This window comes from Homo sapiens, chromosome 1 (assembly GCF_000001405.40).
Source record: "Homo sapiens chromosome 1, GRCh38.p14 Primary Assembly".
In the NCBI taxonomy this organism is placed as follows: domain Eukaryota; kingdom Metazoa; phylum Chordata; class Mammalia; order Primates; family Hominidae; genus Homo; species Homo sapiens.
The window spans coordinates 111,210,549-111,227,296 of NC_000001.11; the positions used below are offsets into that span (position 1 = coordinate 111,210,549).

Sequence of the window (16,748 nt, forward strand, 5' to 3'; positions counted from 1 at the left end):
TTCAAAACCCTCTCTGAATGCAAAATACATTCATAAGCAAAAGAACAAAGAGTAATAATTTTTAAGTGTGTTTTCAGCACTGTTCAGGGGATTGAGCAGCCAATAGGTGTAACCAATTTCCTTAACAAGCATCTGCTTAATAAATATTTGTTGAACAAATGAATGAATGAATTCCCAGCATGATGACTACATTAGCAGATGGTCAATGCATGCTTGTTGAATTGAACTCTAGACCTAACATTTTGATTGCATTTGGGGGTTCCCAGTTCTCCTTGACAATAAACTTAAGAGGAACAGATAGTTCTCATGGCTTGGTCACTTTATATGTTTCAGGCAGTATGCTAAGTATTTTACAAATATTAACTCAAATCAGCATTATCAATAATCTTTTGAGCTAGCTATTACTATTCCCAATTTATAGATGAAGAAACAGGCTCACAGATGTTAAGGAACTTGCCCAAAATCACACAGCAGGTAAAGTGAACTTTTAATTCACACTCAGATGGAAACTTTATCCCCAGGAGCATCCTGATGAGCCCACCAGGACATGTCGTGGAGTCTTCCATGGAGCTGACAAGTGACCCAGCACTCCAAGCCTTCCATGATGGTCTCAAATAGATATCCTATGAGACTACACTCAGGTCTGTGTAGTGCTCCCAAAATGCCCTACTCTGCTTTCTACACTGAACAATGCCCCAAAGTGGTGGAATTTTTTTTTTTTTTAATGGAAGCCAGAGGTTCATCATAATAGGTGTCATGGAAGTCCTCAGAGATGTAAATAACCCCCTAGAGATAAGGCTGACATATAAAAGTCTACCTCAGTCCTGGGGAAATGAGCACACCATTCACCACTGTAGGAGAAAAGAAGGGGACAGAAGATCATGTAGGGCTTTGTAATTCATCAAAGATTCTTAGACATTTCTTTTTTTTTTTTTTTTTTTTTTTTGAGACTGAGTCTTGCTCAGTCGCCCAGGTTGTAGTGCGGTGGCGCGTCTCGGCTCACTGCAAGCTCCGCCTCCCGGGTTCACGCCATTCTCCTGCCTCAGCCTCCTGAGTTGCTGGGACTGCAGGCACCCGCCACCACGCCCGGCTAATTTTTTGTATTTTTGTAGTAGAGACGGGGTTTCACCATGTTAACCAGGATGGTCTGGATTTCCTGACCTCATGATCCGCCCACCTCGGCCTCCCAAAGTGCTGGGATTACAGGCGTGAGCCACCACGCCAGGCCGATTCTTAGATATTTCTACCTACAATTGGAAATTTAAATTATCTCCAACACTTCAAACTTCTGACAGATAAGATTTATAAATCTAATAAGCAGAATCTTTGTAAGCATATAACTAAGTCTTGTAAATCGAACATACCCACCCGCTAAATGTGCTAAGCAGAGAGAGCATCGTCAAAGCAGCTCATGAGGACAAATCAATTTCCTTGAATGAACACAATTTACCAAAAGTATTGATCCCATTTTTATCTTTTTATTGTCTCTCTGCTTGCTTGTACAATTTCCCAGAACTACACATTTTTCTTATCCAGATAAGGGAGACTTTAAAACTAGGTCAGTCACATGAGTACAGTAACTGACATTTCAGAATCAGGGTTTGGTCTGAGACTCTGGATGGGAAAGCAAGGCCTGAGCATTAGTTCCAAGTTCATTCTAGATGAGCCATGAGTTAATAAACTGAACACTTCTTGTAGGAATACAACTTCCTAATCATATACCTTTTCTTGCAATATAGTGCATCCTTTATTACTTTTTGGCTTTTTTGAACAGTAACCTTTTATAACACTTTACCAAGATGTCTTTTTATAAATTTTTATTGAATAATTTGAATTAAAATTCTCTTCTTCTTAACTGAATTGCAGTGAAATCTTTCTATTGCCCACCTGGGTCCTACACTCTGTTCCTCTGAACCTTTTGTGTTTATTAACCACTGCTCTCTGGCCATTTATTGACAGAAAGAATCTGGAATTTTAGAGTGTCGAGTTAGAAGGGACAGTATCAGAGGCACTCATGTGCCCACCTGTCCACCCCCCGCCCCTGCCCCCACCACTGTTCCTGCTAAGTGCTGGGAACTCTGCCTAGCAGTTTCAACAATGGGAAAATCCTGCCTTGAGAAAATATGAAGCCTGCCGTTCCCTGGCCTCCCTGGCTGGGGTGTGAAAGCTTGTGATTATACAGCCAGTTAGTGGCTGTCAGGACCAGAATCCAGGAAATGTCTCTCCAAGCCCCTATCTTCAACACAAGAAGGAGATCTGATGGATAACTCTTTTCTATTTTCTCCCCCGCCCCCCCCCCCTTTTTTTTTTGCTTGATGAGCAGAGATAGACAACAGAGAACAGTGAGCCCTTAGCTCAATCCTGAAACTCAGAAATCAGAACATACTTGTTAACAGACTGATTAACACCACCAACCCCCACCTGTCCTGGTTGCCCTAATCACAAACTCCAAGAAGGAATGATGCCCACACCCCCACAGTTCTTTTCCTCTTCCCTCACCCCTGCACAACCCAGGAAGGTGCTCAGCTGAGCAACCACAGCAGGCAGAAGGGCTGCCTGCTAAGTGACCATGGCATTTAAGGGAAGCCAAGAAAGTGACGAAAGGCTTCGAAAGACAACTGCAGGAAGAAAGAAAGAAGGTCATGGTGGACAGGATCCTGGGGGGAAGAGAGACATGGTCAGGTGGAGAGGTTGGGGGCGGATTGCCATCACCCTCACCATGTTGCCTACTTGAGTCTCAGAAACAACTCTCTTTTCCTTCCCTTTGTGCTCCTGCAGAGAATATCATTCCATCTTACATCTTATTGTTAGTAGTGGCAAATCCGTACAGGTCTGCAGCAACCTCGATTCTTGCCTCCTCAGAAGAAAGATTTTGACTGAGGGGAATAAGGCAGAGAAAGAGACTGAAGCAAGTTTTAGAGCAGGAGTGAAAGTTTATTAAAAAGTATTAGAGCAGAAATGAAAGGAAGTAAACTACACTTGGAAGAGGGCCAAGCGGATGACTTGAGAGGTTAGAGTGAATGGTTTGACTTTTGACTTGGGGTTTTATATGTTGTCATGTTTCCGAGGTCTTGCATTACCTCTCCCCTGATTCTTCCTTCAGGGTGGGCTGTCCGCATGAGCAGTGGCCTGCCAGTACTTGCGAGAGGCCGCATGCACAGTGTGTTTACTGGAGTTGTGCAAATGCTCACTTGAGGCGTTCTTCCCTTACCAGTTGAGTATTCCTAGAGGAAGGTCATATACCAGTTAAACTCTGCCATTTTGCCTTTTAGCGTGCATGCTTGGGCCCACTCGCCCAACTCCTGAGATCTTATTGGGAAGCTGCTGATCACCAAATTTTGATGTTTTCTATCTACTGGGAGATTGCCTTTCCCTGGTGCCAGCTGCGACAAATTATTATTTTAGAGAGATAGTCAACAACCGCCTGACCATCACCTCATGGTCACCTGGCATTCCTGGTTTGGGGGCCCACTCCTGCCCTGCTCATGTCTGCGTAACTACCTACTGTAACATCATGTTTTATTTAAAGAGATAGATGCACAAAGTGTATATATGTGTAGGTGCCCACATGTCTATTTAACTGTATGTACTAAATTAACATCTGTCCCCAAACTGATCTCTGCTGAACAGAGCCAATCAAACTTGGTTCCCTTGTTGAGCTTGCACTCTTGGTATTACATACGGACTAGGGGAGAGGGCCAGCCTCAGCACTGATGTTACAGTCTCACCAATGCACCACAAAGTAGCAGTCTCTCACTGTGAGTTATCACCTGGAGTTCTTTTTCTCACAACTAAGAGAATTAGGGAGAGTGAGCACAAAGGGTGAAGTTGGAGCGAAAGTTTAATAAAAGAAAGGAGAAAGCTCTTGGCTGCGGAGAGGGGACCCAGAAAAGGGTTACCATTTTTACAGTTGAATGCAAAGGTTTTTACAGGAAACCAATAAGGGCTGGGGATCTCATTTGCATAGGTACGAATTTCTGGTAGCTCTACCTTGTTCTTCTAATGCACATGTGGGCCCTTAGCTTGAGTTACTCCGTATTGCTTTGTTCCCCTTACTGTGCATGTGTCAGGGGATGGAATTGTCCGTTGTGGGCATGTCTGGGCAAGCCACCTGTATAGCCTTTCTTATCTGTGTGGCTGTGGGCATGTCTTAGGCAAGCCCCCCTGTGCAAATTCCTTTATCTGTGCCTGCAGCTTCATTTTTCAGGCTGTTCTTTTGTTTGAAAGAGAACCCACCCTAACTACCTGCCTGACCAGTTTCTTCCTTTCTCCTCCCTCACTAGGAGATGCTCTTATCAGACTTTCCTAAGTGTCAAAAAAAAAAAAAAAAAAAAGCCACAGTCTACTCCATCTTTTCTCCACTTCTTTGTTCACTTATCATCTTACTCTAAGAAGTCTTTATGTAGCTATCATTTCCTGAGCGTCACACTGCTTGGTTCTGGGAATCAAACCACACAAAACTGAACTCAGCTCATAGGACATACCATCTGTAACCCAAAAATAAAATTCTAACCCCCGCCGCCGCCGACCATCTGAATGGACCCCTTTTCTCAGCAAGGGCATTCCAAGAGTTACCTGAGGGACTGGTTCAGGCCATGATGGGGGGTGGAGTGTGGACATGCCTCATCGTACACGCCTCCCTCTCAGAACAGACTCTGAAAGTTTGATGAGAAACAGTTACAGTCAATTCTTTCTGAAGCCTGCTACCTGAAAGCTTCATCTGAATGGTAAGACTTCGGTTTCCACAACCCCTTATTGTAACCCAGACATTCCTTTCTATTAATTCCAGGTCTTTAGATAATAACTATTTCAACCAATTGTGAATCAGAAAAATTTAAACCTGCTTATAACCTGGAAGCCCCCATTGCAATCCCCCCACTTCAAGTTGTTCCCCCTTTTCAGACCAAACCAAGTACATCTTACATGTATTTGATTGATGTCTCATGTCTCCCTAAAATGTGTAAAACTAGGCTTTGCCCTGATCACCCTGGACACATGTTCTCAGGATCTCCTGAGGGCTGTGTCACAGGCCATTGGTCACTCATATTTGGCTCAGAATAAATCTCTTCAAATATTTTACAGAGTTTGACTCTTTTCCATCGACATGTTTCAGCCCTTTGAGTTTTCACAACCAACGTAATTTGCAGGGTACTTGCAAACACCAACAGATATTTTAGATATAAAAATGCTTTAAATAATTGGATTATTTGAGCTAATATTATTGCCATATACTCCAAAGGTAAAACAGAGCTCACTAGTGTCCTTGCAACTGACAGGAAGCAGAATATAGTGGTAATCAGCACCCGATGGGATGCCTGAGAGATGTGAGGTCTGAGCAGCCATCACGTTGTAGAGTTGTAGAGAACGTGAGAAACCATGGGCACCAAGTTCCCAGGGTGAATGGGGCTGTGCAATCACTGCTTCATTTTGCTTTTGCTTTCTTCCCCAGCTCTTCTCTCTCTCTCTCTCTCTCTCTCTCTCTCTCTCTCTCTGTCTCGTGACACAAAGGAAACCAAATGCAAGTTGATACTTATTCTATAGGGCCCAGATACTAGTCTCCTTCTTCACAGGAAATGGAAAGTCTCAGTAAATCTCTCAACAGAGGCCTGTTTGCAGGAGGCCGGGGCCTAGGAGGTGGAGCTAAGTTTGTTTATCAGCTTGTTCTGGGGACAGAGGTGGAACCATCACCCACAACCAGAGGAAACTGTCTGGTTCCCCAAGGTCATTATGGGACTTCCTGCCAGAGCACCTGATGGAACAGTTCATGACTGAGGTGGGCCCTCACCTTAAACTCTTTCCGTAGACAGAAGTGGGGGATGAGAGAATTCGTAAATGACCAACTAACCACCTCTCAGGTCAAATCTGAACTCCCTGGTGACTTGAGGGAGGTTTTGTGCAGAAAAAGCACCAGGCCTGCCAGGCCTGCAATGCAGTCAGAAATTGCTGCATGTAAATCCTGGCCCTGCCATTTGAAAGTTGCTCAACTTTTTCCCTGTAAAATGGGGAAGGCTATAATGTGCACTATACCCCGGTGATAAGGGTTATGTAACTTCCTCTCCTATCCATTTTCATTTCTCCCCTTTCCTTCCCAGTTCCCAAGATCCCATTATCCTTCCTCTTACACTGACAGCCAAAACTTAAAATTCTGCTTGCTTTATTTTGCAGAGCAATTTAGTTTTCTTTGTTTCATTTTTTCCTTTCAAGACAAGATTCTGGGAACTAATTTTTCAGAATTAAACAACCACACAAATGTTTTGCTAACACACACACACACACACACACGAGTCCCCCAAAAGGACTTCTGCCTCCAGCTTTAAAACACGTGCATTTTCTTTTCTCACTGTATTAGTTTTTCAGTCGATACTTCCCTTGTTTCTCCAGAGAACCTAAAATGAGCAAGACCACCAAGCTGGTCCACCATCCTCTACATGGACTTCGAGAGTCCCCAGAACACTGCTTTTTATGGCCATTTGTATAATCTGAAATGGTGCCCCCTCCATGCCCCTCCCATGTCTTTCAATCAGCTTATTTGTAAAGTCTTCCATAATCATAGTGCCATTATGCCGATATCTTATAAAAACATGTTTATTACATACACCTGCCAAACATGGGCAGCAGGTATTTTGCAATAAAAGTGAAAAAAGCAATCAACAGTTGAAATTGTTCATCACTAGCCCAACATCTTTCCTATCACATGCCCCTTCTTCTCTGCTAATAGAACCCCTATTTGCTAGGTATCGGTAGAAATCCTTTGACTTTAAAGAGAGGAGGCCTCCTACCCTCACCATAATGCATGAATTGTAATTCACCTAAACCACACATAGTAATTTCATTCTCTTATAATTGGTCATGTGACCCAATGAGCTATGAGGGGAAGTTTGCTGAATGTAGTGCCCAGGAAAGCTTTTGCTTTCTGGGCAAAAAAGGACAGACTCAACTGGTAGGGTCCCTTTTGCTCCTCCGCCATTTCTTCTTTCCTGTAATACTGACATTACGCATGGAAATACTGCAGCAATCTTGGAACCATGAAGCACAAGGAAAAGAACAAAGAAGCAATCTATGAAACTATGGCTTAGCAGAAAGATAGCAAGAACCTGGGATAGTTGAAAACTTTGAGTAGCTGACCAGCCTTGGTCTTACCAGTTATGTGAAACGGCTAAGCCCTCATTTGTTTATGTCACTGTAGCTGGGTTTCCTGTTATTTATACTTAAATGCAGTCCTAATAGGTACATAGTGCATCCTCTCAAAAATGGTTAAAGGCTCATTATATACACCTTTGCGTCAGCCTTGATTCCACATCTAGTGCATGAGCAAGTCCTGTCTGCTCTACCATCAAAAGTGTATCCCAGATTTCAACTATTTAGTACTTCCCACCACCCCCACTGCCATTAACCTGGCTGAAGCCACCATCATCTCTCACTCGTAATGCAGCATTCTCTTAATGGGCCACTTGAGTCTACTCTTTTCTTCCTTCAGTCTTTTCTCAACATGGCAGCCAGAATGATTCCATTAAAATGTAAATCAGATGGTATCATTTCTCTTATAAAAGCTCTCCAATGGTGCCTCTGTTACGCAGATTAGAAGCCAAGGTCCTTAAAATGGACTATGGGGCACCTACCTGATTGGGCTCCTCTCTGTTTTTTTCATTTGTTTTGCTTTTTTTTGTTTGTTTGTTTGTTTTGGTTAGATACTTTCTATTACTGTCTTCAAGTTTGCTTGTTCTTTTGCAGGATCTAATCTATTAAGCTCACTCAGTGAATTTTTAAATTTTAAATCTCATATTTTTTCAGCTTTTCTTCACTTTTTGTTTAATTTTTCATAATTTCTACTTCTGTCTTCATTATACTCATGTTTTCCTTTAAACCCTCGAATGTACTTTTTTTTTTTTTGAGATGAAGTCTCACTGTGTTGCCCAGGCTGGAGTGCAGTGGCGCGATCTTGACTTACTGCAACCTCCGCCTCCCAAGTTCAAGCAATTCTCCTGCCTCAGCCTCCTGAGTAGCTGGGACTACAGGCACCTGACACCATGCCCAGCTAATTTTTGTATTTTTAGTAGAGTTGGGGTTTTATCATGTTGGCCAGGCTGGTCTCAAACTCCTGACCTCAAATGATTCGCCTGCCTCGACCTCCCAAAGTGCTGAGATTACAGGTGTGAGCCACCGTGCCTGGTTTTGAACATACTTATAATAGCTGCTTTAAAGGTCTTGTATATTAATATCTGTCATTTCTAGATCTGTTTCTATTGACACATTTTTCTCCTGGTTATAAGTCACATTTCCTGTTTTTTGGTATATCTAGTGATTTTTTTTTTAATTGGATGCTTGACATTATAAATGTTATGTTGCTGTTGAATGTTTAGATTTTGTGGCCAGGAAGTCAATTTATTTGGAGATTGACAAGAGCTTTTTTTTTTTTTTTTAGACAAGGTCTTATTCTGTTGCCCAGGCTGGCGTGCAGTGGTGTGATCATAGCTCACAGTAGCTTCGACCTCCTGGGCACAAACAATCCTCCTGCCTTAGCCTCTCAAGTAGCTGGGACTACAGGTGTATGCCACTATGACCAAATAATTATTTAAATTTTTTTTTGTAAAGACAGAGTCTCTATGCCGCTGAGGCTGGTCACAGACTCCTGGCCTCCAGCAGTCCTCCCACCTCGGCCTCCCAAGGTGCTGGGATTACAAGTGTGAGCCACTGTGCCCCGCTCAACTTGAACATTTTGAAGCTTGTGTTTAAACTTTGTTAGAACAAGTCTAGAGTCACCCTTACCATGGGGCTAGTGAGGCCCTTAACTAAAGTTTGACGCTTCTGAGGTTTCTATTAAATTTCCAGCTGCTCAAGAAGGACTTTCCACTCTAGCCGGTCTTATCAAATGTCTCCCAGCCCAGTGCAAGCTTTAGTGGTTGTTCAGCTTCCAGATCTCTGGTGGTGCTTATTTCCTTGGTACTTTTGGTTGTTGTTGTTTTTGCCCATTCTGCTGTAGTCTCACCCTCTGTATGAGAGCTTTGTATTCAGCCACAGATCTGAGAGAACCCCATGCAGGTTTCTGAAGCTCTTTTTCTGTACTGCTCCCTTATCTCTGGCATTCTATTGTGAAGTTTCCAAGCCTCTCAGCCTCTTCAAACTCCATTCTTTGTCTCAGTGGGACTTGCATGCTCTCCATAGGCCCCCCTCCTTGTGTTGCAGTCTGCACAAGGCACAGTTGTGGGAGGGCTCACCTCATTTGTTTTCACAGCCCTGCATTGCATGTTGCCTAATGTATGAAAACAATCATTCTGTATATTTTATATCATATTCTAGTTTACCGTGTGAGAGTTACTCAGTCGTTACTGGAGGAGGCCACAAATACTTATTAAACGTGTGAAGTATTTTAGTTTCCATGCTGGTTAGTAGGCTGTGAAGATGAGTTAGTGTGCATAGAGGAGGTAGAGGATGTGAAACTCAGGGTGGGTGGGTGAGGAGGAATTTGCCCAAGACAAAGCTATTGTTAGACCTAGGAGGAGAGGCCTGGTGCTTTGCATCCTCGGGCTGTGCTTTCACACACAAGCCACATCATCTCTTCCCTGGCTTAGCTGCTCTGAGCACTGCCTCCTCCTCAGTCGTCTCCTCCTCTTCAGTTATGTCTTCCAGCATTTGGGATGCTGACTTCTTCAGCCAAGCCCCCTCCAAGCCCTCCCCATACCCACATTCAGATAAAGTGGAAAGAGGTTTTCTATCCCAAGTGTATCAGATCATTTGGAAAGATCAAGACCCACTAGCTCCATCATGAGCCAGTGGATGAGCTTTCTGATTGTCCCTGCTTTGACTCCCACTTCCGATTTGCCCAAAGCCCCTCTCACCACCATGCAGCCTGCAATATGAGACCATGTCTGTGAAACCGTGCCATGAACAGCAACACTTAAGGAAATTGGATTATTTAATCAATAATTGGAGCAATAAGCATCTGCCTCGGTGTGCCAGGCCACAAGAGGCACAGGTAAAAGGCCTGTCTTCTCAAGAAGCACTTATTCTAGAGACTGGCTGCCCACTGTGGGGTTCAGTTAGCAGAAAACACCCTGCTGCCAGTGGTTTCAGGGTCTGCCTCAGGTGCAGATAAGGCAAAGGATCCCTTTGCCCAAGGTCATGACTTACCAGGGAAGCCCATCACTTGTGGCTGAATGAGGAGGGCGTATAAAGACCCAGGCATTTTAGTCTGAAGTGAGGCAACTCTGATGGACGTCACTTCTTCTGAATCTCATGGCTAGGTTGGCTGAAGCTTTGTCGGAGCTGCATCCAAACTCAGCCTCTTCCTCTGCCCAATCTTGCTCCCTCTTTCCTTTCACAACAGATAATTTCTAATTAACAGCTTGTGCCCACACTTCAATTCCACACCTGCTTCTAGGGGGCCCAACTCGTGACACAGGGAATGGCCGTGACCATGGGCTTTGGCAGCTACAGTCCAGTCCACTTTCCCTGCAGACAGGGAAAGGTCAGGTCAGGCAGGGGATGATGACTCCACAGAAGAGTCACCCTGATACCACAGGCTTCAGCTTCTCAACACTTTTTACCTCCCTTCTTTTTTTTTTTTTTTTTTTTTTGAGATAGAGTCTTGCTCTGTTGTCCAGGCTGGAGTGCAATTGCACAGTCTTGGCTCACTGCAGTCTCTGCCTCCTGAGTTCAAGTGATTCTCATGCTTCAGCCTCCTGAATAGCTGAGTTTACAGGCACCCTCTATGCCCAGCTAATTTTTGTATTTTTAGTAGAGCTGAGGTTTCACCATGTTGGCTAGGCTGGTCTTGAACTCCTGGCCTCAAGTGATCCACCCACTTCAGCCTGCCAAAGTGCTGGGATTACAGCCATGAGCCGCTGCACATGGCCAATCTCCCTTCTTTATCAATGTGACAGAAAGTTGAAATGAAGATGAATTACTGGGACATGAGATCAGATTATGTTTATTGAGTGTACACTCTGAGCCAGGTACTAAGCTAAGTCCTTCACTTGCATTATCACGTTTCATTCCCTCAAACAACCTCCCAGGGAGGTAATCTCATTATCCCCACTTTATAAAGCCCTTTGCCTCTGTCTTATGAGAGTTGGGGCAGGCCTGAGGGCAATGAGTGATGATCTCAGATGCCCTCCAGGGTCCTGGCCTGTCTTCTACAGCATGAATCCCTGTGAGCAGCTTCATTCTCATTGCTGGCTCCTGCTTATCTCCTCTTTCTTCTCCTCCCTCCCCAGCTCTCAGTTCTGCAGATCTGGCAGCACTGCTCAGACCCTACCAGCAAATCCGAGGCACTTTCAATGCCCATCCCCCACCCTCAAAAATAGGAAGAGGAGAAACTCTCAGACCACATCCTGCATTTGAGCAAAGTTCCCACCAGTGGTTCAATGCAGGCAAACATTTATGCGACATCTTCCAACTCATAGCCAACCTAGCAACCACAAAAGCTGGGCTCCCAAGAGGTCACTCTTTCACTTATCAGCAATGGACTACCAGTGATCGACCTGCTGTGTGTGGGGGAAACTGGAAGTGTACAGATGAGTGATTCATTCATTTATTCTTATACTTTTTCACCTAACAGTGACTTACTGCGGTCTTATTTTGTTTGAAGCACAGGTCCTAAAGATGTGGTGGGTAGCAAGAAAGAGTCTTGATCTTATGTTCCACTTAGTGGAAGAAATAAGATTTACAGTCCATTATCAAACAATTTCGTAACAGTCCAGTCACATGCACACAAAGTCCAGAAGAATGTACAGGAGATTTGTAGTTTGGGATGGATCATAACATCTCACACATAAAGGGTCTCAGGTAAGGTGAGTATTGAGGTGGCTGCTGCAGTTCGTTTTCTTCCTCCCTGGTTCTGCACTGGGCCCAGGTCTTTCTATTTAGGCTCTCTGGGTGCCTCACAGACCCACTGCTCTCCCCAGGGAGCACATACCTCTCTCTGAACCTGCTACCTCTTCTCCCCCACGCCCCGTCCCAGTGGACACTTGGCCTCTTTAAACCTCCCTCCAGTGTCCTCCCTTATTGATGGCCACACTGAGCAAGTGTGGTCCATGTGTCCCATGCTGAGATATGCTAAAAGAGCCTGGCTCTTCCTCAGCCTTGAAGCACATTAAAGAAGTCCCTTTCTGTTACACCAGTTTTAGGCCTGAATCCGGCCCCAGAAAGCAAGATGGGACAGTGCCAAGCCTCAGGAATGCAAGCATGTTAGGGCAAACAAGAAAAATCCACTTTGCTGTATTTAGAACAGAGCATTTCTCCTTCCTTTATTTTTATTTTCATTTTTCCCTTTGATCTTCCCTGGTGTTCTCCCTCTGCATTCTCTTTTTTGGGTCATACTTATTTCTGCAGTGAACAAGGTTATGACATCATCCCTCTGTCCCCACTCATCCTTCCAACCTTTCTGAGACAATCCCGGGGCCAAGAGGAGACTGAGAAGCTGGGGGAGGTAGGATCTTCCCAGGACACCTGCCCAGCGCCAACTAGGTGTTGAGCTGCCTACCAACAACCACGAGAGGGCGCCCCTTCCCCATGCCTCTCCTGCGGAGGCTCCCTCGGGAGTCCAGGTTTGGGGTGGGTCAGAAGTGCTGCAGGCCCTGGACACAGGCTTGTATCTGGAAGGTGACAGTGCCTCTGCCTCATCACTGACTAATAGAAGGCCAACCTTCATTGTTATTTCCTCCCTGTGGCAGAACTGGGTTCTGAATTTCTCCTCAAGCAAATCCCCAAAGCATATTTTTAACCTAACCTTGGGTTAATAAGTATAGTTTTTCCTATCTTTAGGGATTCAAGTTCTCCCTGGGGTTTGGAACAGAGCTAGATCCTGCCTTCACAGACCCCTGTAAATCAAGGTGAATCGAAAGTGGCATTTAAATCTGGCCTTATATGCCAAGAAATGGACATCTTCATGCTTCCACCCCGCTGGTGATCTCGGTTCCCATGACACACCTACACTTTCATTAAGTCACCCTTGTTCCCACGTCTGCCATAGAGTTACGGAGTCCAACTCTGAGACTTCACTAAGACTGGTCTCCTTGTGTGTTTCCTATTCTTCTCCTCCTGGCAATGCCCAGATCCTCCTTCTAATCCCTTCTCAAAGCTTGCTTTCAGGAGGAAGCCAGCCGGGTCCCTACCAGGGCAGTGTGGCCCTTCTATTCTCTGCAGTCCTCCATTCTTTCTGTACCACTGTGGTGTTTGTGTTTAATTCTCTGCTCCTTTATCCTGCCTCTTACATATCTCTTTCCTGAGCTAGATGCAAAAGCTGTAAATGAAGATTGGCAGACATAAAAATATTTTTAAAATTATGTAATGAAAACAATATAAACATAATAGGAAGTAAAAAATGAAAAAATACAATAAATATGATAATGGATTAATTTCTATAATACAGAGAGAATTCCTAAAAAGCCATACCAAAGAGATGGAGAATCCAATAGAAACGGCCAGGCAACTCAGAGAAGGAGAAAAAGTATTGGCCAATAAATATATACATTAAAAAGTTGCCCAACCTTTAGTTTTAACATAAATTAAAATAAGAAGGCATAATTTTAATATAAAAGATAGACTGATAATACCCATTATTTATTGTTTACTAGAATGGGGGTAATAAGCATGCCTCATACGTAGTTGGAAGGAGTACACGTTAAAGCACAATTTGAAAAGTAGCATAAAAATAGTGTGTGGATGTCTTTTATACAAAATCATCTCATTGCAGAATTATCTGTGACTGTGAAATTTGAAAATAACTGAAATGTCCATCAATGGGGGATGTAGTAATTTAAAATTGCATATAAATTGATATTCTCTATTTTGATTATGTGAAAGGATGCTTTGCCATAAATTGTTGAGGGTAGGGGAGAAAAAGAGAGAGAGAGTGTATGTGTGTGTATGTGTGTGTCAAGAAAGAGGAGAGAGAGAGAGAGAAGGGAGTTAGGGATGATGTATACCAAAATTGTTAACAGTAGTTTCTTTAGAGAATGAATAGGTACTTTCATTTTCTGCTTTATATATTTTAATATTCTTAGGGTTTTGCTACAATGTAAACTTGCTACAATTAAATTTTTTAAATTTCTTTTTGAGACAGAGTTTCGCTCTTGCTGTCTAGGCTGGAGTGCAATGATGCGATCTCGGCTCACTGCAACCTCCGCCTCCTAGGTTCAAGCAATTCTCCTGCCTCAGCCTCCCAAGTAGCTGGGATTACAGGCATGTGCCACCATGCCTGGCTAATTTTTTGTATTTTTGGTAGAGACGGGGTTTTTCCATGTTGGTCAAGATGGTCTCGAACTCCCGACCTTAGGTGATCCGCCCACTTCGGCCTCCCAAAGTGCTGGGATTACAGGCGTGAGCCCCTGTGGCCAGCCCAATTTTTTAAATTTCAAGTTTGAGGAAAAAAGGAATAATTTGTTTACATGTTTGTCTCTCCCACTAAAAACATAAGTCAATAGAAAGCTGAAATCAAATTATATTTGGTTCATATTTGGTTTACTGTATAAATTACATTTTTGCAGTGACTGACAGAGTAAACACTCCATTAATTTTTTAAATTACTTTTCTTTTATACATTTTAAGGGTGGATGCTTTATTTAGCACATACTTCATTCCCCCTAATGTTATATTTACCTGTATTTATACATTTGCCTTCCCAAGTAGAGTACAAGTTTCTTGAGGCAGATCAAATAGGGACTCTATAAGCTCTTATCAGTTCTTTACAAGGTGTAGATTTTCCATAAGTGTTTGCTGTATTTGTCAGATGCTGAAGGATTGAAAGCCATTTTTCCTCCTTGGGCTCCAACCCCCACACCCACATTATCTTCCTCTTCCATGGTGGGGTTTGAGTTTAGAACATACTAATGTCTCTTGTGACTTTGAAAGATTAGGAGTCTAGTAAGGAATGTCTCCAAGTTAGGTTCTCAGTTGGAATAGGCACTGGAGCAGATGAAGACCTTGCTTAGGAGAGAATCCACAGCTTAAGCCTGGAAGGAAACTTGTTTAAGAAAAAAATCTGCAAATAATTGCCATGACCTTGACCACGAAAGTCAAAATCTGATTGACTAAGCTTTCTCTTTTAGTCCTGGGGACAAGTTTATCATTTTCTAGAATTAAAATGTCAGGAGAAAAAAGATACATCTCTCCATCCACCAACATAATAAGGCGTAATGTCAGGAAAGCAGAGATAAAACATTAATGCCTTTCTTTACTGTACTCTCAGTGCCAATCTGGTCATCTGATTGAAGTACGGAGATAGACAACTGCAAAGCAATGCCAGCGAGAGCGAATGCACAGGCACACTGTGAAATGCTACATTTACCTTCTTCAGCAGGGCAGGAAATACCTACCAAAAGATGAAAAGATCTCAGTTCAAACTAACAAAGAATACCATGAGTGCTTTCTTTTTCTTTTTTCTTTTTTTTTTTTAGATGGAGTCTCGCTCTGTCACCCAGGCTGGACCATGAGTGCTTTTTTAAACCTCATTTTAAATCTGAAAGAAGAATGAATACATTGGTATGCATAAGAAGTTTAGTATGAACCCATACTGTGTTTTGTTATCAACAAAGAAACAAGAACAAAATTGGCACCCTTTCAGTAAGCTCAGCTGAGGTATTTTCACACTGAAGGTTCTGCAGGCTTCTGGAGCCCTTGAGAACTGAGTAGGTAGGTTCAGGCAGCTGTAACAAAATACCACAGACTCGGTGGCATAACAACAAACGTCTATTTCTCACAGTTGGGAGGCTGGGAAGTTTAAAATCAAGCTGCACACAGATGAGGTGTCTGGTGATGGCCCTCTTCCTGATCTGCTGAAAGCCACCTACTTGCTGCATATTCCCATGGTAAACAGAGATCATCTCTTCTGTGTCTATTCTTGTAAGGGCACTAATCCCATTCATGAGGACTCTACCCTCATGATCTAATTACCCGCAATGCCCCTTCTCCATAGACCATCACACTGGGACTTAGGGCTTCAACATGTACATTTTGGGTGACACCGAGGAGTCAGTTATGAAAAAGGCACTGGGAGATAGGTAGGGAGATGTGCAAGGCCCTGAGGATCTGAGCCTTTGAGTCTGGAGTGCAAGTCCATTCTCACAGGTTAAGGCAGGATCCTGAACAAACATTTGTTGAGGTTTTTCTTTTTGTGTTTCACATAATTCTTTATTTTTATTTTTTATTTTTTTGAGATAGAGTCTTGCTTTGCCCAGGATGGACTGCACTGGTGTGATCGCAGCTCACCATAGCCCCAACCCCTGGGGCTCACTCAGGTGATCCTCCCACCTCAGCCTCCCAAGCAGCTGGGATTATCAACATGTGCCACTACTCCTGGCCAATTTTTCCTTCGCATACTTCTTGTACTTGCACAGTGGAGACACAGACACCAATACATCACAATACACTGTGAAGGAATGAAAGGAAATAGAATGCACTGTAGGCAGAGGTGCCAGCTCGTCTCTGCTTGGGGGACAGTGGGAAGAGCTACAGAGAAGGTGTCATTGTAGGTGCCTGGTAAACAATAGCTGTTGTCGGGTGTGGTGGCTCACACTTGTAATCTCAGCACTTTGGGAGGCCAAGGCAGGAGGGGCGCTTGAGCCCAGGAATTCAAGACCAGCCTGGGTAATGTAGTGAGACCCTGTCTCTACAAATTTTTTTTTTTTTTTTTAATTAGCAAGGTGTAAGGTGCATGCCTGTGGTTCCAGCTACTCTGGAGGCCAAGCTGGGAAGATCCTTTGAGCCCGGGAGGTTGAGGCTGCAGTGAGCCATGATGGTGCCACTGCACT

General features: G+C 43.7%; 9 annotated features.

Annotated features, from left to right (window-relative positions):
* Window positions 3,414-4,613: an enhancer, noted in NCBI's record as "MED14-independent group 3 enhancer chr1:111756584-111757783 (GRCh37/hg19 assembly coordinates)". NCBI's record gives its function as "activates an origin of replication core promoter dependent on BRD2, BRD4, P300/CBP and CDK7 cofactors, and independent of MED14, by STARR-seq in HCT116 cells {active_cell/tissue: HCT116}" and the evidence as "EXISTENCE:reporter gene assay evidence [ECO:0000049][PMID:35650434]".
* Window positions 3,513-4,324: an enhancer, noted in NCBI's record as "H3K27ac hESC enhancer chr1:111756683-111757494 (GRCh37/hg19 assembly coordinates)". NCBI's record gives its function as "activates a minimal SCP1, AML or CMV promoter by ChIP-STARR-seq in naive H9 embryonic stem cells {active_cell/tissue: H9 hESC(naive)}" and the evidence as "EXISTENCE:reporter gene assay evidence [ECO:0000049][PMID:30033119]".
* Window positions 3,949-4,288: an enhancer, noted in NCBI's record as "active region_1485". NCBI's record gives its function as "activates an Ori minimal core promoter by ATAC-STARR-seq in GM12878 lymphoblastoid cells {active_cell/tissue: GM12878}" and the evidence as "EXISTENCE:reporter gene assay evidence [ECO:0000049][PMID:35858748]".
* Window positions 5,308-5,677: an enhancer, noted in NCBI's record as "active region_1486". NCBI's record gives its function as "activates an Ori minimal core promoter by ATAC-STARR-seq in GM12878 lymphoblastoid cells {active_cell/tissue: GM12878}" and the evidence as "EXISTENCE:reporter gene assay evidence [ECO:0000049][PMID:35858748]".
* Window positions 8,970-9,089: an enhancer, noted in NCBI's record as "active region_1487". NCBI's record gives its function as "activates an Ori minimal core promoter by ATAC-STARR-seq in GM12878 lymphoblastoid cells {active_cell/tissue: GM12878}" and the evidence as "EXISTENCE:reporter gene assay evidence [ECO:0000049][PMID:35858748]".
* Window positions 9,710-9,769: an enhancer, noted in NCBI's record as "active region_1488". NCBI's record gives its function as "activates an Ori minimal core promoter by ATAC-STARR-seq in GM12878 lymphoblastoid cells {active_cell/tissue: GM12878}" and the evidence as "EXISTENCE:reporter gene assay evidence [ECO:0000049][PMID:35858748]".
* Window positions 10,550-10,849: an enhancer, noted in NCBI's record as "active region_1489". NCBI's record gives its function as "activates an Ori minimal core promoter by ATAC-STARR-seq in GM12878 lymphoblastoid cells {active_cell/tissue: GM12878}" and the evidence as "EXISTENCE:reporter gene assay evidence [ECO:0000049][PMID:35858748]".
* Window positions 11,260-11,309: an enhancer, noted in NCBI's record as "active region_1490". NCBI's record gives its function as "activates an Ori minimal core promoter by ATAC-STARR-seq in GM12878 lymphoblastoid cells {active_cell/tissue: GM12878}" and the evidence as "EXISTENCE:reporter gene assay evidence [ECO:0000049][PMID:35858748]".
* Window positions 12,701-12,790: an enhancer, noted in NCBI's record as "active region_1491". NCBI's record gives its function as "activates an Ori minimal core promoter by ATAC-STARR-seq in GM12878 lymphoblastoid cells {active_cell/tissue: GM12878}" and the evidence as "EXISTENCE:reporter gene assay evidence [ECO:0000049][PMID:35858748]".